We start from the raw sequence: 21,971 nt of genomic DNA on the forward strand, positions 1-21,971 counted from the left end.
TTTACCTTCTACATAGCTCCCCTGTTTCATCCAAGGAGGTTAAGTATTGATTTTTATCGGTTTTCTCAACTGTGAATATAATAAACTGAAAGCATTTCAGGGAGAAGCTGGAGAACACCTTCTCTAGCTGCACTCCACCTTAAGGCTGAAGCTGGATTTGTTTACTGTTTCTCCTGGGGGCAGGGGCAGTTGAGAAATAACCAAGTAGTCTGCCAAGCCAGGGTCAACCCTCCAGGCCACAGGTTGAGCAAATGCTACAGCCATGGACAGGGAGACACTCCTCACGAAGGGGTGGTCCTCATCCTTTCAGATCAACTTCCTGCTGGAGGCTCCACCCTCACCACGTCCCTCCCTCTTCTCTCATCTGGAGTCACCTTTTGGGATTTTGGAGTTGAGCACCATGGGGACTCCAAATGATCAGGCAGTGCTGCAGGCCATCTTCAACCCTGACACCCCATTTGGAGACATTGTTGGATTGGACCTCGGAGAGGAAGCAGAAAAGGAAGAACGAGAAGAAGGTGGGCATTTGATCTGGAGTGTAGCTCTGCACATAGGCTGGCCTGCTGGCCTCCCGAGGTAGCAGAGAGGGAGGTGGTTTTATAAGGCCCCTTGTTCCATGATTATGATTGAGATTGGAATCAGAGAGGTTGGCTGCTCCTTAGCGCACTGATGGGGGTTTGGTAAGAGATGTCCTGCCAAGAGGAGTAAGCTGGGGTTTGTCTCTCGATCCATCAGCTCTCATGCCTCTGAACTTACCACTTAATTGACTGTATGATCCAAGCTTAACTGCCAGGTGATGTTAAACTCTCACATTTTTGTCATAACAGAGAATACCACCACCAGAACAGAAGACTGAAATAAGGCAGGGCATGGTTGCTCAGTTGAGTGGTTCCAATATAGCAAGCACAACCAGTAACCGTTAAACACTGTCACAAGCCAAGCTCCAAACTAACTCTTCCGCAGTGAGTGCGTTCACTGGCTTTTCCATTAATCCCTAATGAAGGAGTTTTTGATCCTTTGTTTCTAGAGGAGTAAAGCCTACACCTTACTAACTCAGGCCGAAACACAGAGGGATACGTCAGAAGTGATGTTCATGATCTGGGAATGTCATGGTGGCCTTTGCATAAGAGGCGGTGTAGTAGAGTAAAATGCAGACAGGAGCCAGAATGACCTGGGTTCAAATCCAAGCTCTGCAACGTATGGCCTGTTGAGGCCATACACAAAGAACTTGAGCAACTTCTTTAACAGATTGAGGAGTCTGGGCTTCATTCTCTTGGCAATGGGGAACCAACCAAGGCCCCTTCCCAGGTCTCTTGGAACTCAGGCAATGCTAGCTCCCAGCCTTAGTGACCTCATCTCCCCCTACCCCAAACACTGCAACTGACCCCTGCTGTGACCCATACCCAGTCAGCTCTGGCTCAGATCTCAGAATTCCAAAGCCTGAGGTGGCTTTTTCTTCTTGCTACCAACTGCACACCTGGCTTCTCCTGGCTCCTTCCCTGGCCCAGATGAAGTTTTCCCTCAAGCACAGCTGGAACAGTCCAAGGCCCTGGAGCTGCAGGGGGTGATGGCAGCAGAGGCTGGGGACCTCAGCACAGCCCTGGAGAGGTTTGGCCAAGCCATCTGCCTGCTGCCTGAGAGGGCTTCAGCCTACAACAACCGTGCCCAGGCCCGGCGACTCCAGGGAGACGTGGCAGGTAAGGGGAGATGCCCTGTATCCTCTGCAAAAGGGCCCACGGGAGGGCACAGACCAGAACTGAAGTGGCTGTGCGGCTGGGGTGGCCTTGCTAAACCCCTGTGGAGCCTGTCTTCTTACCTATAAGGTAGGAGTAGTATCAGGGGACCTGCTAATATCATGGGGTTAATGTGAAATTCAGAAGAGACTGCATTCCATTGATTAAGGAACAGTTAATGAGAGCCTACTATGTGGCAGTAGGCTGGTGCTGAGGACACTGAGATAAAAGGTATATGGATCACCAACATTTATATAGCAGTCACTATGTACCAGGCATTAATCACTTTACATACAAACTAGTAAATCAATCCTCACAACAACCCTAAAAAGTATGTACTATTGTTATCCCCAGTTTATAGATGAAGAAACTGAAGCATGAAGAGGCTAAGTAACTTGCCCACTATCATACAGTCAGGCAGCAGCAGAGCTGGGATGTCAACCAGGTGGTAGGGCTCGAGTGTGTGCTCTTAATCCCCACATGATACTGCTCCTCGAAAAGCTCCCAGTCCAGGAGGCAGGGCAGACACATAATTCTGAGACCAGCAAAACAAGTTCGAGAGGGGTCAGCGTGGGACCTGTTCCTGAAGGGCGAGTTTTGAAGGATGAGTGGGAGTTAGTTGGTGGGTGGAGAAGGTACAGTCTGTAGAGGTCCAAAACTCCTGCTGCATTCAGGTTATTCTAATTAAGTGAAGACAATGGGACCATGCTGGGGACCAAAGATGAGGCTAATGTGAAGGTATAAACCACGGAAACCTAGTACTACTTGACTGTTAGGAGCAGTGGTGACACAGGTGCTCCCAGAACCAGCAATGCCAGGCTAGGGAGTTTTGAGTCCACTCCAGGAACAATGGGAACCTCCCAGGAGCCCCTTATCCAGGCTTATCTGCCCCAGATCACTGGAGACAGCCTGCAGACCAAAACCCCAGAGAGATGCAGTGGTGATTCCAACTGGAGATTCCTCCAGACCAGCTCCTCCGAGGGAAACCAAGGAGTACTGCATTCTGAGCGCTTCTCCGGAGGCTCAGGCTCTTTGGGGGACTAGAGAACATGAGTGAATTGAAGCAGAGCCCGAAAGAAGCCAGCCTGGTGGACTTTAAGAAGGTGGCTGGCTGCCTGAAGTTCTGAGTTCAGAGTTCTGAGGCCCAACCCAAGTATTTTATGAGAATAATAACAATAAAAATGGTGCAGGCCAGCTCTGGCTCCAGGACCAAGGAAATTAGATACATGGAGATAACCAAAGAATGATGAAAGGCAATCAGTCCAGGATACAGGGGAGAGAGAAGGTGTTCTAAAGAAAGCAATGGAAAAGAGAAAACGGCCCTCAAAAGGAAAACAATGAGAAACTGTCTTGATTGTACTTGTAAGAAATGATTGTGCGGTTAATATTATTTTTTGAACCCTGACATTCAGAGTCAGTCACCTGGCACATAGTGGATGCTTAATAACAGGTGTGGAATAAATTGGCTGCTACTTGCCCGGGCAGTGGGCCAGACTCATAAACATAGTGGCCATTCAGAATCCTGCAACGTTCATGTTTTCGTGTATTAGCGGTGGAAAATAATAGGAACAAGGCGAGACCTGGACTTCAGTCCCAGCTCTGCCACTAAGTGGCTTGGCTGTAGAGCTTAACTCTTCCACAGTCTTCATCTGTGTAATGGGAATAACGATCCGTACCTCTAGCAGGTGCGAGGCGGGTTGTAAATGGCCACGCCCGGGAGCCGCAAGAACCACGGTGATCCGCGCGGCCGCAGGTGGGCTGGGGCTCGGGCAAGGCCGCCCTGGCCTCCGCTGACCCCCGCCCCGCCCGTCTCGTCGGTCCCGCAGGCGCCCTGGAGGATCTGGAACGCGCGGTGGAGCTGAGCGGCGGCCGGGGCCGCGCCGCCCGCCAGAGCTTTGTGCAGCGCGGACTCCTGGCGCGGCTGCAGGGCCGAGACGACGACGCCCGCAGGGACTTCGAGAGGGCGGCACGGCTGGGCAGCCCCTTCGCGCGGCGCCAGCTGGTGCTGCTCAACCCCTACGCCGCGCTGTGCAACCGCATGCTGGCCGACATGATGGGGCAGCTGCGCCGCCCCCGTGACAGCCGCTGAGCGCCGCGGACCCGGGCGTCCGCGGGCGAGGGGACGGGACTGGGCCCTGAACCAATAAAGCCGTCGGGCCTCACCGACTCCGCCTGCTCCTGCGTCCTGCCCGCGCCCGGAGAGAAGGGCACTCGGGGGTACTCGGCGCGGGCTGGGGACCAGCCGGGGGGTGGTGAGCCGCGGCCGCCCACCTGCCGGGTAAGGGCCCCTCGGGCCCGTGGTCGGGCATCGATTGGCCCCGCCTGGCGCAGCCCCCGCCCCTGCAGCGGACTGCGGTGCTCATCAGACCTGAGCAGTTGCTCCGGCGGCGCTCGGGGAGGGAGCCAGGTGAGCCGCCCCGGTGGCGGGGGGCGGGGGCGGGATGCTCGGCGACCCCACCCTCCGACCCTCTCCTCTTCCGCCGACATCCACCGGAGCCACCAACATCAGGAAAGGGGGCGTAGGGCGAGGGATGGGAGAGAGAACAGGGCAGGAGAGAGGATGGGAACAGGGCAGGAGAGAGAATAGGATTAGGAGAAAGGCGATCCCTTTGGGGGAGGGGCGCGTGGAGTATGTGTGTGAGTGTGCGTGTGTGCAAGGTGTGGTTGCACGGATGCTCGTTGCTTCTGCGTATCTGCGGGTGTGTGCCTCTTTGTATTGTAGCCTGGAGTCAGTGCTCGCTTCTGCGCCTGCAGGATGTCCATGTGTCTGCTGGGTGGGTCTGTGCCTTTGGGCTTTGCCGTTCGTGTCCGTGCCTTCGCCACTGGGGGCTGGTCTACATTTGCGTTTCCGTACATGGTTCTTTTTGTTTCTGGAGAGTAAATTCCTGGAGCAATTGCTAGGCCTGCCTGCTGTCACCTGGCTGACAGGCCCGCCCCCTTCTCTCAGCAGCCTAGGGCCTAGGCCCGGGCCACCATGGCGCTGCCTCCAGGCCCAGCCGCCCTCCGGCACACACTGCTGCTCCTGCCAGCCCTTCTGAGCTCAGGTACACCCCTGTTCAGTCGTTGACCAAGTCCTTCTGGGTTCCAAAGCCCCCTCTCTCCCCTGTCTGCACTTCTGTTTGGGTACCCACTCCAGGCCCCAAGCCCTGGAGTCCCTGTCCCCTTCACCCACCTACCCTAGGTCCAACCAGCCAGTCCCTGGTGAGAGGACTCAGGTGCCCTTTCCTTTGGCCTGCTGCTCTTCTCACTGGGCCAATTCCTGGTCACAGCACAGTACCAACCGTGCCTGAGCCCTTCCCAGAGGCCTCCTGCTGTGTTCCAGGTTGGGGGGAGTTGGAGCCACAAATAGATGGTCAGACCTGGGCTGAGCGGGCACTTCGGGAGAATGAACGCCACGCCTTCACCTGCCGGGTGGCAGGGGGGCCTGGCACCCCCAGATTGGCCTGGTATCTGGATGGACAGCTGCAGGAGGCCAGCACCTCAAGACTGCTGAGCGTGGGAGGGGAGGCCTTCTCTGGAGGCACCAGCACCTTCACTGTCACTGCCCATCGGGCCCAGCATGAGCTCAACTGCTCTCTGCAGGACCCCAGAAGTGGCCGATCAGCCAACGCCTCTGTCATCCTTAATGTGCAATGTGAGTGGCCCTGAGGTGGGCAGGGAGATAGGTTCTTTGCCCAGGGACCCCCAGCACCCACCAGGCAGGTGGTCCGCAGGACATTTAGCAGACACTTAAGCACTTTGCAAATATGAACTCATTTGATCCTCTGAGTAACCCCATGAGGTCATTACTATTGTCGTCACCATTTTACAAATAAGAAAACTGAGGCAGAAAGAGGTAAGCAATCTGCCCAGGGTGATGATCCCGCTGGTAAGAAGCAGAGCCAGGATTCACATCTGGGCATTTGGCTCTAGTATTTACACTCATAATCACTCCGAAATGCTGCCTCTCTGGCAGACCCAGCCATCCTGTTCCTCAGCATCCCCTCTGAGGAGAGGCCCAGGCCCCTGGCTCCCATCTGGGTTTGGGAAGAAAGGGCTAGAAGTATGAGGGGCTGTGGTGAGAGCATATTGGCCTCTGCTTTGTACCAGTCAAGCCAGAGATTGCCCAAGTCGGCGCCAAGTACCAGGAAGCTCAGGGCCCAGGCCTCCTGGTTGTCCTGTTTGCCCTGGTGCGTGCCAACCCGCCGGCCAATGTCACCTGGATCGACCAGGATGGGCCAGTGACTGTCAACACCTCTGACTTCCTGGTGCTGGATGCGCAGAACTACCCCTGGCTCACCAACCACACGGTGCAGCTGCAGCTCCGCAGCCTGGCACACAACCTCTCGGTGGTGGCCACCAATGACGTGGGTGTCACCAGTGCGTCGCTTCCAGCCCCAGGTGAGCATGGCCAGCAAGCGGCCCTGCAAAGCTTCAGGTGGGCTCAGGGGTCCCGTCCCCATACAGAAATGGGAATACTTGTTGCCCTGTGGTTGGGTCTTGTGGATGAACTGTCCCCAGCCACCCTGGGCAAGGAGGGCAGAGTAGTACCTATGGCATGTTGGGGCTGGGGCACTACCCACTTGGGACCTGACACAGAGGACATCCTCCAGGGCTTCTGGCTACCCGGGTGGAAGTGCCACTGCTGGGCATTGTTGTGGCTGCTGGGCTTGCACTGGGCACCCTCGTGGGGTTCAGCACCTTGGTGGCCTGCCTGGTCTGCAGAAAAGAGAAGAAAACCAAAGGTAGGCCAGGGACACTGGGGGCAGTGTGGATGAGGTCAGGCTGAGCAGCAGCCAAGACAGCAAGTGCAGCTGGGCAGAACCAGTCATCTCTGACGGTGGCAGAGCACTTCCAGGGGGTGGCCATGGGTACGGTGACATGCATCCCAGGTAGCAGGGTCAAGCACTGGGAACCCAGTCTCTGGCCCCAGGGCCAGGCCTGGGCATTTGAGAGACCCCTTGCCTGAGGGTCCTGGGTCTGAAAGGGTAGGACAGCCCAGCGTGGGAGGGCACACTGAGAATTAGGGACATGGTTTCTTTCTCCACAGGCCCCTCCCGGCACCCATCTCTGATATCAAGGTAACTCTTCCTTGGGCTGGGTGGACAAGCCTAACCGAAATGCAGGATGGGGACAGGAGGGAGCCTGGGGTTTCTGGTAGAGGCAGCCATGAGTGCCTGTGCCGGGACTCATATCCATCCCGAACTTTGTCCTCCCTGTAGTGACTCCAACAACCTAAAACTCAACAACGTGCGCCTGCCACGGGAGAACATGTCCCTCCCGTCCAACCTTCAGCTCAATGACCTCACTCCAGATTCCAGAGGTATATCTAGGGCCCTGCTCTTTGCCCCTGCTTAATCTCCAGAAGTGCTTCTGAGAAAAAGAACTTGGTGCTTGGGAGGGGCGAGGCCTCATCAGGCACACTCCTCGTCCTGAACACTGCCCTCTTTGTCAACCAGCAGTGAAACCAGCAGACCGGCAGATGGCTCAGAACAACAGCCGGCCAGAGCTTCTGGACCCGGAGCCCGGCGGCCTCCTCACCAGCCAAGGTACTGGGGAAGGGGCCTGCCACCCTCCTCCTCTGCCCCCCAGCCCTGTGCTTATGCCAGAGGCCTCCAAGTGCCCAGGAGGCAGAGAGAGCTCTCCAAATTCCAAGGAACAAGCGTTACTGAGTCCCCGCGGGCTTCTTTGATCCCGCAGGTTTCATCCGCCTCCCAGTGCTGGGCTATATCTATCGAGTGTCCAGCGTGAGCAGTGATGAGATCTGGCTCTGAGCCGAGGGCGAGACAGGAGTATTCTCTTGGCCTCTGGACACCCTCCCGTTCCTCCAAGGCATCCTCTACCTAGCTAGGTCACCAACGTGAAGAAGTTATGCCACTGCCACTTTTGCTTGCCCTCCTGGCTGGGGTGCCCTCCATGTCATGCACGTGATGCATTTCACTGGGCTGTAACCCGCAGGGGCACAGGTATCTTTGGCAAGGCTACCAGTTGGACGTAAGCCCCTCATGCTGACTCAGGGTGGGCCCTGCATGTGATGACTGGGCCCTTCCAGAGGGAGCTCTTTGGCCAGGGGTGTTCAGATGTCATCCAGCATCCAAGTGTGGCATGGCCTGCTGTATACCCCACCCCAGTACTCCACAGCACCTTGTACAGTAGGCATGGGGGCGTGCCTGTGTGGGGGACAGGGAGGGCCCTGCATGGATTTTCCTCCTTCCTATGCTATGTAGCCTTGTTCCCTCAGGTAAAATTTAGGACCCTGCTAGCTGTGCAGAACCCAATTGCCCTTTGCACAGAAACCAACCCCTGACCCAGCGGTACCGGCCAAGCACAAACGTCCTTTTTGCTGCACACGTCTCTGCCCTTCACTTCTTCTCTTCTGTCCCCACCTCCTCTTGGGAATTCTAGGTTACACGTTGGACCTTCTCTACTACTTCACTGGGCACTAGACTTTTCTATTGGCCTGTGCCATCGCCCAGTATTAGCACAAGTTAGGGAGGAAGAGGCAGGCGATGAGTCTAGTAGCACCCAGGACGGCTTGTAGCTATGCATCATTTTCCTACGGCGTTAGCACTTTAAGCACATCCCCTAGGGGAGGGGGTGAGTGAGGGGCCCAGAGCCCTCTTTGTGGCTTCCCCACGTTTGGCCTTCTGGGATTCACTGTGAGTGTCCTGAGCTCTCGGGGTTGATGGTTTTTCTCTCAGCATGTCTCCTCCACCACGGGACCCCAGCCCTGACCAACCCATGGTTGCCTCATCAGCAGGAAGGTGCCCTTCCTGGAGGATGGTCGCCACAGGCACATAATTCAACAGTGTGGAAGCTTTAGGGGAACATGGAGAAAGAAGGAGACCACATACCCCAAAGTGACCTAAGAACACTTTAAAAAGCAACATGTAAATGATTGGAAATTAATATAGTACAGAATATATTTTTCCCTTGTTGAGATCTTCTTTTGTAATGTTTTTCATGTTACTGCCTAGGGCGGTGCTGAGCACACAGCAAGTTTAATAAACTTGACTGAATTCATTTACATATCTCTGCTTCATTTCTTCTATTAATATGTTTTTGTTTTTGTTTTATTTTGTTTCGTTTGAGATGGAGTCTCACTCTGTCGCCCAGGCTGGAGTGCAGCGGCGCGATCTTGGCTCACTGCAACCTCCGCCTCCCAGATTCAAACGATTCTCCTGCCTCAGCCTCCCAAGTAGCTGGGACTGTAGACGCCTACCACCACGCCCATCTAATTTTTATATTTTTAGTAGAGATGGGGTTTTACCATGTTGGCCAGACTGGTCTCGAACTCCTGACCTCAAGTGATCTGCCCACCTCGGCCTCCCAAAGTGCTGGGAGTACAGGTGTGAGCCACCACACCCAGCCTTCTAATATGCTTTTCTTTTCTTTTTTTTTTTTGAGACAGAGTTTTGCTCATGTTGCCCAGGCTGGAGTGCAATGGCGTGATCTCGGCTCACCGCAACCTCTGCCTCCTGGGTTCAAGTGATTCTCCTGCCTCAGCCTTCCAAGTAGCTGGGATTACAGGCATGCACCACCATGCCCAGCTAATTTTGTATTTTTAGTAGAGATGGGGTTTCTCCATGTTGGTCAGGCTGGTCTTGAACTCCCGACCTCAGGTGATCCACCCGCCTCAGCCTCCCAAAGTGCTGGGATTACAGGCATGAGCCACACTGCGCCCGGCCTAATATGTTTTTTAAATGAAGTTTTCCAGTCTCACAGTGGAAAAAATATAGCAAGCACCTGTATACCCACCACTCAACTCTGACATTACCAAATGTGCTTCAGAAAAATAAATAATATTTCTTTAATTATAGTGTTCCCAATGGCCGGATTGGCATTTTCTATTTCAGGGGCTCTTGGCTATAACTAGCATCTGATTCTCACTTGGTCCTCACTCAGCTGCTTCTTCCCACCTCAGGACTGGGCTAAAGTATGCTGAGCCCCTTTGTCCTGCCCTTGGGAACAGAAGGCTCAGACTGGGATGTGATTTTTTTTTGTACAAAGTTATGAGGTTCATTGAAATTTTGTAACATATCTATGTATGTATGTGTATATACAGAGAGAGCGCAAGAGAGCACGTGTGTGTGTGTCTTGCTCTATGACTCAGGCTGGAGTGCAGTGGTGCAATCATAGCTCACTGCAGCCTTGAACTCCTGTGTTCAAGGGATCCTCCCACCTCAGCCTCATGACTAGTTGGAACTGCAGGTGTGTGCCATTGTGCTCAGCTAATTAAAAAAATTTGGAGGGGGCAGGCATGGTGGCTCACGCCTGTAATCCTAGCACTTTGGGAGGCCGAGGCGGGTGGATTGCCTGAGCTCAGAAGTTCGAGACCAGCCTGGGCAACATGGTGAAACCCCATCTCTACTAAAATATAAAAAATTAGCCTGGCATGGTAGCATGTGCCTGTGGTCCCAGCTACTCGGGAGGCTGAGGCAGGAGAAATGCTGGAACCCAGGAGGCAGAGATTGCAGTGAGCCGAGATCGCGCCAATGCACTCCAGCCTGGATGACAGAGCAAGACTCCGTCCAAAAAAAAAAAATTCGTAGAGACAGGGTCTCACTCTATTGCCCAGGCTGGTGTGACATGTGTATAATGTGTAGTAATCAGGTTAGGATATTCAAGGTGTCCATTACCCAAGTACAATACACTTTTGTTAACTATACTCACCCCACTCTGCTATCAAGCATTGAATTTATTCCAACTATATGTTTGTACCCTTTAACTCACTTCTTTTGTTTATCCCACATTTTCCTTCACCCACATTTTCTTCACCCATTCATCAGTTGATGGACACTTAGGTTGATTCTGGATATTTGCTATTGTGAATAGTGCAGCAATAAACATGAAAGTGCAGGCATCTCTTTGATATTTTGATTTCTTTTCCTTTTTGGAGATACCCGGAAGTAGGATTGCTGGATTGAATGGTAATCCTATTTTTAGTTTCTGAGAAATTACAGGCCGGGTGTGGTGACTCATACCTGTAACCCTAGCACTTTGGGAGGCCGAGGCGGGTGGATCGCTTGAACCCAGGAGTTCAAGACCAGCCTGGGCAACATGGTGAGAGTCCCATCTCTACAAAAACACAAAAATTAGCTGGGCGTGGTGGTGTGTACCTGTAGTGCCAGCTACTTGGGAGGCTGAGGCAAGAGGATCACTTCAGCCCAGGAGGCAGAGGATGCAGTGACTGAGATCACTCCACTGCACTCCAGCCTGGGCCACAGAGTGAGACCCTGTCTCCAAAGAAAAGAGAGAATCCCCATATGGTTTTCCATAGTGGTTGTACTAGTTTACATTCCCACCAATATAAGAGTATAAGAGTTCCCTTTTCTCCTCATCCTCATCAATATCTGTAATTATTATTATTTGTTTATTTTTTTGAGACAGAGTCTTGCTCTGTCACCCAGGCTGGAGTGCAGGGGTACGATCTCAGCTCACTGCAACCTCTACCTCCCAGGTTCAAGCAATTCTTCTGCCTCAGCCTCCCCAGTAGCTGGCACTACAGGCGTGCACCACGCCTGGCTAATTTTTGTATTTTTACTAGAGATGAGGTTTCACCATATTGGCCAGGCTGGTCTTGAACTCCTGACCTCGTGATCTGCCCAACTCTGCCTCCCAAAGTGCTGGGATTACAGGCGTGAGCCACTGCGCCAGGCTTTGTCTTTTTAATAATAGCCGTTCTGATTGGGGTAAGCTTGTATCTCATTGTGGTTTTGATTTGCATTTCTCTGATGATTAGTGATGTTGAGCATTTTCTCATATACCTGTTAGCCGTTTGTATGTCTTCTTTTGAGAAATGTCGGCCAGGCATGGTGGTTCACACCTGTAATCCCAGCACTTTGGGAGGCCGAGGCAGGTGGATCACTTGCACTCAGGAGTTTGACACCAGCCTGGCCAACATGGCAAAACCCCATCTCTACTAAAAATACAAAAAATAGCTGGGCATGGTGGCATGTAGCTGCAATCCCAGCTACTTGGGAGGCTGAGGCAGGAGAATCGCTTGTACCAGGAGGCAGAGGTTGCAGTGAGCTGAGATCATGCCACTGCACTCCAGCCTGGGCAACAGAGTAAGGCCGTCTCAAAAAAAAAAAAAAAAGGAAATGTCTATTCTTGTCCTTTGCCAACTTTTTAATGGAATTATTTGGTTTCTTTTCCTGTTGAGTTGTTTGAATTCCTTGCATATTCTGGATATTAATCCCCTGTTGGATGAATAGTTTGTGAATATTTTCTCCCATTCAACAGATTGTCTCTTCACTCTGTTCATTATTTATTTTGCTGTGCGGAAGCTTTTTAGTTTAAGACCCATTTGTCTATTTTTGTTTTTGTTGCTGTGCGTTTGAGGTCTTGGTCATAAATTTTTTTTTTTTTTTTTTTTTTGAGACGGAGTCTCGCTCTGTTGCCAGGCTGGAATGCAGTGGTGTGATCTCGGCTCACTGCAACCTCCACTTCCCGGGTTCAAGCGATTCTCCTGCCTCAACCTCCCAAGTAGCTGGGGCTACAGGTGCGTGCCACCACACCCAGCTAATTTTTGTATTTTTAGTAGAGACAGGGTTTCACCATGTTGGCCAGGGTGGTCTCGATCTCTTGACCTCGTGATCCACCTGCCTTGGCCTCCCAAAGTGCTGGGATTACAGGCATGAGCCACCGCGCCTGGCCAGGTCATAAATTTTTTGCCTAGACCAATGTCCAGGAGAGTTTTCCCTAGGTTTTTTTCTAGTATTTTTATAGTTTCAGGTCTTATGTTTAAGTCTTTAATCTATTTTGAGTTGATTTTTATATACCATGAGAGATAGGGGGTCCAGTTTCGTTCTTCTGCAGGTGGCTATCCAATTTTCCCAGCACCATGTATTGTGGAGGGTGTACTTTCCCAAGTGTAAGTTTTCATTGGCTCTGTCGATGGGCTGTGATTTTTTCTTTATTTTAATTTTTGGTCAGGCACAGTCATTCACACCTGTAATACCAGTACTTTGGGAGGCAGAGGTGGGCAGATCACTTGAGGCCAGGAGTTCGAGACCAGCCTAGCCAACATGGTGAAACTCCATCTTTACTAAAAATACAAAAATTAGCCAGGCATGGTGGTGTGCACCTGTAGTCCCAGCTACTCAGGAGGCTGAGGCATGAGAATTGCTTGAACCCGGGAGGCGGAGGTTGCAGTGAGCCGATATCATGCCACTGCACTCCGGCCTGGGCGACAGAGCAAGACTCCGTCTCAAAAAAAAAAAAAAAAAAATTACATTGGAGAATCATGAGGTGGGAAAAGCCTAGAAATGGGATGACGTTTTGAGCGCAGATTTATCTTCTGGTTTTTGTTTTTGTTTGAGACAGAGTCTCGCTCTGTTGCCCAGGCTGGAGTGCAGTGGCGCAATCTCGGCTCACTGCAAGCTCCGCCTCCCGGGTTCTTGCCATTCTCCTGCCTCAGCCTCCCCACTAGCTGGGACTACGGGTTGGCTTGGCTTCCATGGCTGTGGGGGCTTCTGGTTCATGCCCTTTCCTCCTTTCTCTCTTGTTCAGTGTTTTCCTCCATAGAATGGCTAAGGCCGTGCCAGCCACCTGAAAGGAGCTGAGTTCTAGCCTCTACTGATTTTGCGTGTGAGCTCCTTGCCACTCCAAAATTTTTCTTAGCCAGAGGGCCTTGCTGTCACTTCTTTTGACTTGCTCATCCATGCTCCCTCAGAAGGTCCTGGGGCTCTTCCTTTGATAGCCCCTTGGCAAGACTGCAAGCTCTGAGCTCCTCTCAGCTGCACCCAAGGTCTTAATTATCAGAAAGTTTACTCTTCCTGACAAGGCTTCCATCTTGCCAAATATTCAGTAGGGGGTGGACTGGCAAACTACTGTCCCAATTCTCGATACACATCCCTTAGATCAGGGATTCCTTGTTCCTTTGTCGGGTGACAGACCCATTGGAGAAGTTGATGAAAGCCAAACACTCTTTTTTTCAGAAGACACAGATAAGAGACTCCTGCTTGTTATGCAGATCAAAACCTAGCAGATTACAACATGAAAGAACCTTGATGACATTATGCCAAGTGAAAGGCCAAACCCAAAAGATCACACGTTGTTTGACTCCATTTATATGAAATGTCCAGAGTAGGCAAATCTGCAGAGTCAGAGAGCAAGTTAGTGGTTGCCAGGGTCTGGGGGGAGGGCAGAATGGGGAGTGACTACTGGTGAATATGGGGTTCTTTTTTGGGGTGATGAAAATGTTCTGGAATTCGTAGTGATAGATGCACAACTTTGTGAACATACTAAAAACACTTACACGAGGATGAACTTATGGTATGTGAGTTAGATCTCAATAAAGCTGTTGTTTAAAAACTGATCAAATGTTAATTTGATTTGTACTTTTCACTGTTTAGAAATTTCACCTAACAGGCCAGGCGCCGTGGCTCATGCCTGTAATCCCAGCACTTTGGGAGGCCAAGGCGGGCGGATCATGAGGTCAAGAGATCGAGACCATCCTGGCCAACACAGTGAAACCCCGTCTCTACTAAAAATACAAAAAATTAGCCGAGTGTGGTGGTGGGCACCTGTAGTCCTAACTACTCGGGAGGCTGAGGCAGGAGAATGGCTTGAACCTGGGAGGCGGAGCTTGCAGTGAGCCAAGATTGCGCCACTGCACTCCAGCCTGGGTGACAGAGCGAGACCCTGTCTCAAAAAAAAAAAAAAAAAAGAAAAAGAAACTTCACCTAACAAAAGAAGAATGTCTTAGTCCATTTTTTGTTACTTATAACAATACCTAAAACTGGGTCATTTATTAAAAACAAATTTTTTAAAAAAAATTCAGCTTTTATTTTAGATACACAGGGTACATGTGCAGGATTGTTACCTGGTATCACACCAGGTAGTGAGCATAGTATCCAATAGGTAGTTTTTCAACCACTCTAGTGGTCCACAGTGTCTGTTCTTCCCATGTTTATGTCCATGTGTGCTCCATGTTTAGCTCTCACTTATTTTTATATATGTTTTAAGACAGGGTCTCATTCTGTCACCCAGGCTGGAGTGCAGTGGCACAATCACGGCTCACTGCAGCCTCGACCTCCCGGGCTTAATCGATCCTCCTACCTCAGCCTCTCGAGTAGCTGGGACCACAGGTGTATACCATCATGCCTGGCTAATTTTGTATTTTTTGTAGAGACGTGGTTTCACTTCGTTCCCCGGCTGGTCTCAAACGTTTGGGCTCAAGCAGTCCTCCGGCTTCAGCCTCCCAAAGTGCTGGGATTACAGGTGTGACTCACTGTGCCTGGCCTTTTTAGCTCCCACTTACAAGTAAGAACATGCACTGTTTGGTTTTTTGTTCCTGCGTTAATTCGCTTAGAATTCTGGGGGCCGGGAAGTACACGGTTGAGGGGTACATCTGGTGAGGGTCTTTTTGCTTGTGGGGACTCTGCAGAATTCTGAGGCAATGCAGAGCATCACATGGCAAGGGGGCTGGACATGCTAAGTCAGGTCTCTCTTCTTATAAAGCCACCAGTCCCACTCCCATGATAAGCCGCCAATGCATTTAATACCCATTAATCTATAAGTGGATTAATCCACTCATCAGGGCAGAGCCCTCGTGACCCAAACACCTCTTAAAGGCCCCACTTCTTGATATGGCCGCATTGAGGATTAAATTTCAACATGAGTTTTGGAGGGGACAAATAGGCAAACAATAGCAAATCATAAATAAATATTGAGGGCCAGGCGCAGTGGCTCATGCCTATAATCCCAGCACTTTGGGAGGCCAAGACCAGAGGATGAGTTGAGGCCAGGAGTTGGAGACCAGCCCGGGCAACATAACAAGAACTTGTCTCTACAAAAAAATATATATATAAAAATTAAGCCTGGGCACAGTGGCTTACTCCTATAATCCCAGCACTTTGGGAGGCCAAGGCAGGCAGATCACCTAAAGGCAGGAATTCAAGACCAGCCTGGGCAACATGGTGAAACCCCTTCTCTACTAAAAATACAAAAATTAGCCAGCCGTGGTGGTGCATGCCTGTAATCCCAGCTACTGGGGAGGCTGAGGCAGGAGAATTGCTTGAACCCAGAAGGCAGAGGCTGCGGTATGCCAAGATCGCACCACTGCACTCCAGCCTCGGTGACAGAGCGAGACTCTGTCTCAAACAAACAAACAAAACAAAACAAAAAACCAAAAATTTGCTGGGTGAGGCTGGGCGCAGTGGCTCATGCCTGTAATCCCAGCACTTTGGGAGGCTGAGGCAGTCGGATCATGAGGTCAGCAGATTGAGACCACCCTGGCTAACACGGTGAAACTCCATCTCTACTGAAAATACAAAACAAATTAGCCGGGTGTAGTGGTGCATGCCTGTAATCCCAGCTACTCGGGAGGCATAGGCAGGAGAATCGCTTGAACCCGGGAGGTGGAGGTTGCTGTAAGCCTCAGTTTTGTCAGCTCAAAGTTTGTCATCAGCTCAAACGTGCCTGCTCCTTAAACTCAAGCATGATGATCATAGTTAAAGGGTTTGTAAGAAACAGTTCCTCTCCTACCCATGTGTTTATTGTGTATCTATTAGGCTGATGGTATCGATTTTGTTTTGTTTTGTTTTTTTAGACAGCACCTCTGCTACCAGCGCCGGCAATGACTACCACCCCTTTGACTTTTATGTTCCTCAGTACCCTCCGTTCTCCCTTTTGCTCCTTCAGCCTCTACAACACTTTTGTAACCAATTTATCATATTATTATATATTTTTTTGAGAAAGAGTTTTGCTCTGTTGCCCAGGCTGGAGTGCAGTGGCGCGATCTTGGCTCGCTGCAACTGCCACCTCCTGGGTTCAAGTGATTCTCCTGTCAGCCTCCCGAGTAGCTGAGATTACAGGTGCCCACCACCACACCCAGCTAATTCTTTGTATTTTTAGTAGAGACAGGGTTTCACCATGTTGGCCAGGCCAGTCTTGAACTGCTGACCTCAAGTGATCCACCCGCCTCAGCCTCCCAAAGTGCTGGGATTACAGGCATGAGCCACTGCACCTGGCCAATTCCCCATATTAAACACCCCCTTTTTTTTTTTTTTTGAGATGCAGTTTTGCTTTGTTGCCCAAGCTGGAGTGCAGTGCCACGATCTTAGCTCACTGTAACCTCCACCTCACGGATTCAAGTGATTCTTCTGCCTCAGTCTCCTGACTAGCTGGGACTACAGGCATGCACCAAAACACCCGGCTAACTTTTGTATTATTAGTAGAGGTGGGGTTTCACCATATTATTGGCCAGGCTGGTCTCGAACTCCTGACCACATGATCTGCCTGCCTGGGCCTCCCAAAGTTCTGGGATTACAGGCGTGAGCCACTGTGCCTGGCTAAACACCCTTTGTTAGAAATAACTAGCATGGTTTCAGACTTCCTGACTGGAGCTTGGCTGACATAACTCCAAAATATTTACTGAATCTGTCCATCTCTACTACTGCCACCCCAATCACCTCTCACCTGGATTACCGCAATAGCTACGCTCCCTGAGACCAGAACCAGACAGGTCTGGAGCCAGACAGCCTCAGGAAGGCGGCATTAACTGAAGAGAGACCCTTAGAAAAATTAAATTCCAGAGGAAAAATGATTCCCCTCGACTGCCAATCTTGGAGGATTGGGGTTTCATTTTATTTCACAAAATTTGTTTGCTTTAACTACTCTTCATTTAATGCCCATTACTAAGCAAAGTTCCTGTGTCTCTGCGTTATGCTCAGTCAGCCTTTTCTCTTTCATATTAAATAGCAGAATAATCTGACAATATAATAGAGCATTTGATTTATAAAATCTTTACTCACTAACTTTACGAATGAAAGAAAACAATTCCATCCCTCTCACAAAAAGGACATCTTTTAAGCTTTCCTCCCAATCTAACCTCCATGGGATCTCAGAAATTCCAATTCTTATAACTCAAATCCCCACAGTGGTGTAGATGCATTAACTCCCCGGGGACAGCAATCTGAGGCAGGCAGGTTCATTAAACAAACATGTTCTGTGCCCTCTGGCAGAGAGGGCAGCAGGACATGCACTGCCCCTGAGCCAAGCTGTGGCATGGGCAAGGACATCAAGTAGCTGACAACGATCTGTCCATCTCAGCTGGGGCAGAGGGGCCAGCTCAGCCTTGAAACAGCAGCTTGGGAAGTGTCTCAGCTGAAGGTTAATGTCTCCATGTCTCCAGCTTGGGAGGTGGAATTGGATGAAGGAGTGAATGCTTTCTTGCCTTCAGCGAGAGCTTTAAAATGCTGCAAGGAAGAGGAGAGGGAATATTGAGTATTAGGGATATGCTAATTGCTATATTTTAACAAGAATTAATTTCTTTAAAATGAACCCCCTTTATTTCCTTCCTGCTTCCATTCATGAGGGAACTTGGTTCTGAAAGAACGAGTGTCCTCTGTAGATCCTCACCTGATTTCATCTAAGGCCCACAACTCCTACTTCCACCCACCCTTTTTTTTCCTCCACTTTCCCCTTGAAAACTCCATCCCTGCCTCCTTTGCTCTCCTAATTATGGGAAAGGGCGAAGGTAACTGGGCAGAGACATCCTACATCGCTATAGGATGCAATCACAGCAGGCTCAGAACAGTAGAAACTATAGTGATCCTCTCTACAGCTTAAGTCAACCCCTGATGCTTGGCTCACCTGTGAGTTCTTGAATTCTGAGTAGAGGGAAAAGAGCAGATGGAGGGACTGGATCCGACTCTTGTAGACAGGGATGTCTAGAATGGCTGAAACGAAGAAGAACTTCCAGGAACAGAAGCAAACAAACTCCGGGAATTAGAGGCCCTTCTGTCTAGCACAGGCAAAGCCCTGGCAGATGGGGTGTCGCTATGACTTTGGGGGTTAAATACCCAGCAGGTAGTCACATAAGCCAAACACCACCTTTGAGTGCTGCCAAAGAGCACAACGGGCTTAAAGTGAAGGCTGAAACTCAAGATACTATCTTCCCAGAGTAAACAAGCCTGTCCAAAAGCCTAGAGTGTCTCTATCCAGAGATGGGGACGAGGAAAGGAAAGAGGAACTCACCACAGATCATGTCAATGTACTCTGCCAGGCTGCAATCAATCTCTGCCGTGGGCAGGCTTACCTGGAAGGGGCATGGAAGGACCAAAGTCAAAAGGATGGTGTCAGTGGTCCCAGAACCACTCTCTCTCTCTGAAGCAAAAGAGCTTCTAGCATAAGACACAGGTTATGGGCTGAAATGTGTTCCCCTAAAATTCAGATATTGAGTTCCTAACTCCCTGTACTTCAGAATGTGACTATATTTGGAGATAACATCTTTAAAGAGATAATTAAATTAAAACAAGGTCATTAGGGTGGGCCTTAATCCAGTATGACTGGTGTCCTTATAGGAAGAAGAAATCAGGACAAAGACGCATAACAGAGGGAAGACCATGGGAAGACACAGAAGATGGCCAAGAAGAGACCCCTCAGAAGAAATCAATCTTGGTGGGGCGTGGTGGCTTCACGCCTGTAATACCAGCACTGTGGGAGGTTGAGGTGGGCAGATCGCCTGAGCCTAGGAGTTCGAGACCAGCCTGGGCAACATGGTGAAATTCCATCTCTACAAAAAAATTAGCCGGGTGTGGTGTTGAGTATCTGTAGTCCCAGCTACTTGGGAGGCTGGGGTGGGAGGACTGCTTGAGTCCAGCAGGTTGAGGCTGCAGTGAGCTGAGATTGAGCTACTGCACTCCAGCCTGGGCATAGAGTAATACCCTGTAAAAAAAAAGGAAGGAAGGGAGGGAGGGAATCAACCATGCCAACAAATTGATCTTGGACTACTACTGGACTACTAGCCTCCAGAACTATGAAATAATACATTTCTGATGTCTAAGCCACTCAGTCTATGGTACTTTGTTATGGCAGCCTAGCAAAATAATACAACATGCTATTTTTTCCCCCGATCAGTATGGAATTGGTCATATGTTTTATAGGTAAAATACACTGCCATACTCTTTTCCTGTGGGAATCTGTGAAAAAGAAACTGATACCAAGTTATGGGCAAGTATTAACAGTTATATATGCATTACTTGGTGTTATAATGCCTAATGATTCCAGGACACCATATGAACAGAGAAAATGGGCATGACATCTAACTCAGGTAACAGGCTCTGGATCTAAACAAGTCACAGTGTGAAGTTTTTAAACTACTGGTTTCTTAAAACTTTTCTCTTTTTACAAAAAACAGAGTACATATAGTTCTGCAACTTGCTGCAATTTGCTTTTTTCATTTAACAACATATCACTGATATTTCTTCATATTAGAGCAAAATAAGGCCAAATAATATTCCATTGCATAGTATTTCACTGAATGGATGTACTGCAACCTAGCTATTCAATCCCCTAATCAGACACCTTCCCCTCAACTACAGCTTCAAAATGCTCTGAGGAAAGAGACTGTTTCCAAATTCTGTGTGTTTACAATCAATTCTTCATATACAAAAAAAATCTGTCTTTGTAGAGCTTACATTTTAGTAGGGAAGAACAAAATAAGTAAATAAAGTCTATGGTATGTTAGAAGATAAGTGTTATCAAGAAAAAGCAGGGACAGAGGGCGGGGAATGCTGGGGAGCTGGTGCAGCAGTTTAAACATGATGGCTAGGAAGGACCTGTTGGTCATCTTTGTTCAGTTTCCTTTTCTGTTTTGATACTTTAAAAAAATTCTTTTTTGAGACGGAGTCTTGCTCTGTTGCCCAGACTGGAGTGCAGTGGCATGATCTTGGCTCTCTGCAACCTCCACTTCCTGGATTCAAGCAATTCTCCTGTCTCAGCCTCCTGAGTAGCTGGGATTACAGATGTGCGCCACCAGGCCCGGCTAATTTTTTTGTGTTTTCAATAGAGACAGGGGTCTCACCATGTTGGCCAGGCTGGTCTCAAACTCCAGACCTCAGGTGATCCACCTGCCTCAGCCTCCCAAAGTGCTGGGATTACAGGCATGAGCCACCGTGTCCAGCTCCTTTTACTTTTCTTTTCTTTTCTTTTTTTTTTTTTTTTTTTTGAGACAGAGTCTCACTCTTTCGCCCAGGCTGGAGTGTAGTGGCGCTATCTTGGCTCACTACAATCTCCGTCTCCCGGGTTCACGCCATTCTCCTGCCTCAGCCTCCCAAGTAGCTGGGACTATAGGCGCCCGCCACAGCGCCCGGCTAATTTTTTGTATTTTTAGTAGAGACGGGGTTTCACCATGTTAGCCAGGATGGTCTCGATCTCCTGACTTCGTGATCCGCCCGCCTCGGCCTCCCAAAGTGCTGGGATTACAGGCGTGAGCCACCACGCCCAGCCTTTTTTTTTTTTTTTTTTAATAGAGAAGAGTCTCTTATTGTTGCCCAGGCTGGTCCTGAACTCCTGGCCTCAAATGATCATCCCACCTCAGCCTCCCAAAGTGCTGGGATTACAGGTGTGAGCTACCGTGCCTGGCCCAGTTTCCTTTTCTTATTAATATATAAGAGCTCTTTGCTTGGACGGTAATTTTTTCTATTACATACATATATAAAATATTTTTTCTCAGACTGCCACTGTCTTTTAACTTTGTTTATGGTGTCTATTGGTATGTAGAACCTTTCATTTCTATGAGTTTAAACTGTCACATTTTCTCCATTACGACTTTTTTTTTTTTTTTTTGGACAGAGTCTCACTCTGTCATGAGGCTGGAATACAGTGGCGCGATCTTGGCTCACTGCAACCTCCGCCTCCCGGGTTCAAGCGATTCTCCTGGCTCAGTCTTCCGAGTAGCTGGGACTACAGGCGTGCATCACCATGCCTGGCTAATTTTTGTATTTTTAGTAGAGATGGGGTTTCACCACGTTGGCCAGGATGGTCTTGATCTCTTGACCTCACGATCCGCCCGCCTCGGCCTCCCAAAGTGCTGGGATTACATTACAGGTGTGCGCCACCATGCCCAGCTAATTTTTCTATTTTTAGTAGAGATGGGGTTTCACCATGTTGGCTGGATGGTCTTGATCTCTTGACCTCTTGCCTCGCCCTCCCAAAGTGCTGGGATTACAGGTGTGAGCCACTGCACCTGGCCTTTTTTTTTTCTTTTAATAGAGATGGGTCTATGTTGCCCAGACTGGTCTCAAACTCCTGGGCTCAAGCAATCCTCCCATTTTGGCCTCCCACTCCATTATGACTTTTTTTTTTTTTTTTGGAGATGGAGTCTTGCTCTATTACCCAGGCTGGAGTGCAGTGATGCAATCTTGGCTCACTGCAACATCTGCACCCCTCCTGGGTTCAAGAGATTCTCCTGCCTCAGCCTCCTGAGTAGCTGGGATTACAGGTGCCTGCCACAACACCCAGCTATTT

General features: G+C 49.9%; 3 protein-coding genes and 1 long non-coding RNA gene across 59 annotated transcripts in view, besides 4 other annotated features; 2 read left to right on the plus strand and 2 right to left on the minus strand.

Moving 5' to 3' along the window:
- TTC36-AS1 (TTC36 and KMT2A antisense RNA 1) overlaps positions 1-4,000 on the minus strand; it is a 19,177-nt gene extending 15,177 nt beyond the window's left edge. For 3 of the 5 annotated variants that reach the window (NR_120574.1, NR_120573.1, NR_120575.1), the window contains exon 1: positions 3,410-3,681. This is a non-coding gene — a long non-coding RNA (TTC36 and KMT2A antisense RNA 1). Of the gene's footprint in view, positions 1-374; positions 482-3,409; positions 3,682-3,896 lie in introns of those variants that run through there. The other 2 variants (NR_120572.1, NR_120576.1) reach the window with 2 other exon arrangements.
- TTC36 (tetratricopeptide repeat domain 36) lies at positions 380-3,899 on the plus strand. 4 transcript variants are annotated; one of them, NM_001346096.2, is made up of 4 exons: positions 380-518; positions 828-962; positions 1,509-1,697; positions 3,560-3,899. In NM_001346096.2, exons 3-4 carry the CDS (start codon positions 1,568-1,570, stop codon positions 3,820-3,822), a joined length of 393 nt encoding a protein of 130 aa, NP_001333025.1. In that variant the 5' UTR covers positions 380-518; positions 828-962; positions 1,509-1,567; the 3' UTR covers positions 3,823-3,899. The 4 variants fall into 4 exon arrangements, with proteins under 4 accessions (NP_001333025.1, NP_001333026.1, NP_001073910.1 ...); NM_001346097.2 differs by having other exon boundaries at positions 1,532-1,697; NM_001080441.4 differs by lacking the exon at positions 828-962.
- Positions 2,560-2,854: a silencer, noted in NCBI's record as "tiled region #12917; K562 Repressive DNase matched - State 8:EnhW". NCBI's record gives its function as "represses a minimal TATA promoter and a strong SV40 promoter by Sharpr-MPRA in K562 cells {active_cell/tissue: K562}" and the evidence as "EXISTENCE:reporter gene assay evidence [ECO:0000049][PMID:27701403]".
- Positions 3,376-3,655: a silencer, noted in NCBI's record as "silent region_3945". NCBI's record gives its function as "represses an Ori minimal core promoter by ATAC-STARR-seq in GM12878 lymphoblastoid cells {active_cell/tissue: GM12878}" and the evidence as "EXISTENCE:reporter gene assay evidence [ECO:0000049][PMID:35858748]".
- Positions 3,776-4,215: a silencer, noted in NCBI's record as "silent region_3946". NCBI's record gives its function as "represses an Ori minimal core promoter by ATAC-STARR-seq in GM12878 lymphoblastoid cells {active_cell/tissue: GM12878}" and the evidence as "EXISTENCE:reporter gene assay evidence [ECO:0000049][PMID:35858748]".
- TMEM25 (transmembrane protein 25) lies at positions 4,098-20,192 on the plus strand. Of its 44 annotated transcripts, none has more exons than NM_001144037.2 (9): positions 4,098-4,140; positions 4,681-4,777; positions 5,056-5,367; positions 5,823-6,113; positions 6,326-6,457; positions 6,763-6,793; positions 6,935-7,035; positions 7,172-7,261; positions 19,025-20,192. In NM_001144037.2, exons 2-9 carry the CDS (start codon positions 4,708-4,710, stop codon positions 19,051-19,053), a joined length of 1,056 nt encoding a protein of 351 aa, NP_001137509.1. In that variant the 5' UTR covers positions 4,098-4,140; positions 4,681-4,707; the 3' UTR covers positions 19,054-20,192. The 44 variants fall into 44 exon arrangements, 43 of the variants coding, with proteins under 43 accessions (NP_001137509.1, XP_047283683.1, XP_047283695.1 ...); XM_047427727.1 differs by having other exon boundaries at positions 7,175-7,261; XM_047427739.1 differs by having other exon boundaries at positions 5,152-5,367.
- Positions 4,246-4,345: a silencer, noted in NCBI's record as "silent region_3947". NCBI's record gives its function as "represses an Ori minimal core promoter by ATAC-STARR-seq in GM12878 lymphoblastoid cells {active_cell/tissue: GM12878}" and the evidence as "EXISTENCE:reporter gene assay evidence [ECO:0000049][PMID:35858748]".
- Positions 17,449-21,971, minus strand: part of IFT46 (intraflagellar transport 46) — a 32,356-nt gene continuing 27,833 nt past the window's right edge. For all 6 annotated transcript variants that reach the window (XM_011542906.4, XM_011542905.4, XM_017018018.3 and 3 more), the window contains 3 exons: positions 18,699-18,759; positions 18,315-18,400; positions 17,449-17,917 (listed from right to left, as the gene is read on the minus strand). In XM_011542906.4, coding sequence (XP_011541208.1) covers positions 17,822-17,917; positions 18,315-18,400; positions 18,699-18,759 — 243 coding nt within the window. In that variant the 3' untranslated portion in view covers positions 17,449-17,821. The remainder of the gene's footprint in view (positions 17,918-18,314; positions 18,401-18,698; positions 18,760-21,971) is intronic.

Source organism: Homo sapiens, chromosome 11 (genome assembly GCF_000001405.40).
Source record: "Homo sapiens chromosome 11, GRCh38.p14 Primary Assembly".
Taxonomy (NCBI): domain Eukaryota; kingdom Metazoa; phylum Chordata; class Mammalia; order Primates; family Hominidae; genus Homo; species Homo sapiens.

Excerpts from the sequence above, each read along its gene's own strand:
- TTC36 (NM_001080441.4), top strand. The coding sequence starts at position 401 with ATGGGGACTCCAAATGATCAGGCAGTGCTGCAGGCCATCTTCAACCCT. Across the intron at positions 519-1,508 it reads AAAGGAAGAACGAGAAGAAG|ATGAAGTTTTCCCTCAAGCA; the intron begins GTGGGCATTTGA and ends TCCCTGGCCCAG. Across the intron at positions 1,698-3,559 it reads ACTCCAGGGAGACGTGGCAG|GCGCCCTGGAGGATCTGGAA; the intron begins GTAAGGGGAGAT and ends TCGGTCCCGCAG.
- TMEM25 (XM_047427720.1), top strand. The coding sequence starts at position 4,708 with ATGGCGCTGCCTCCAGGCCCAGCCGCCCTCCGGCACACACTGCTGCTC. Across the intron at positions 7,036-7,171 it reads CCTCACTCCAGATTCCAGAG|CAGTGAAACCAGCAGACCGG; the intron begins GTATATCTAGGG and ends TTTGTCAACCAG. Across the intron at positions 7,262-8,413 it reads CGGCCTCCTCACCAGCCAAG|CATGTCTCCTCCACCACGGG; the intron begins GTACTGGGGAAG and ends TTTTTCTCTCAG.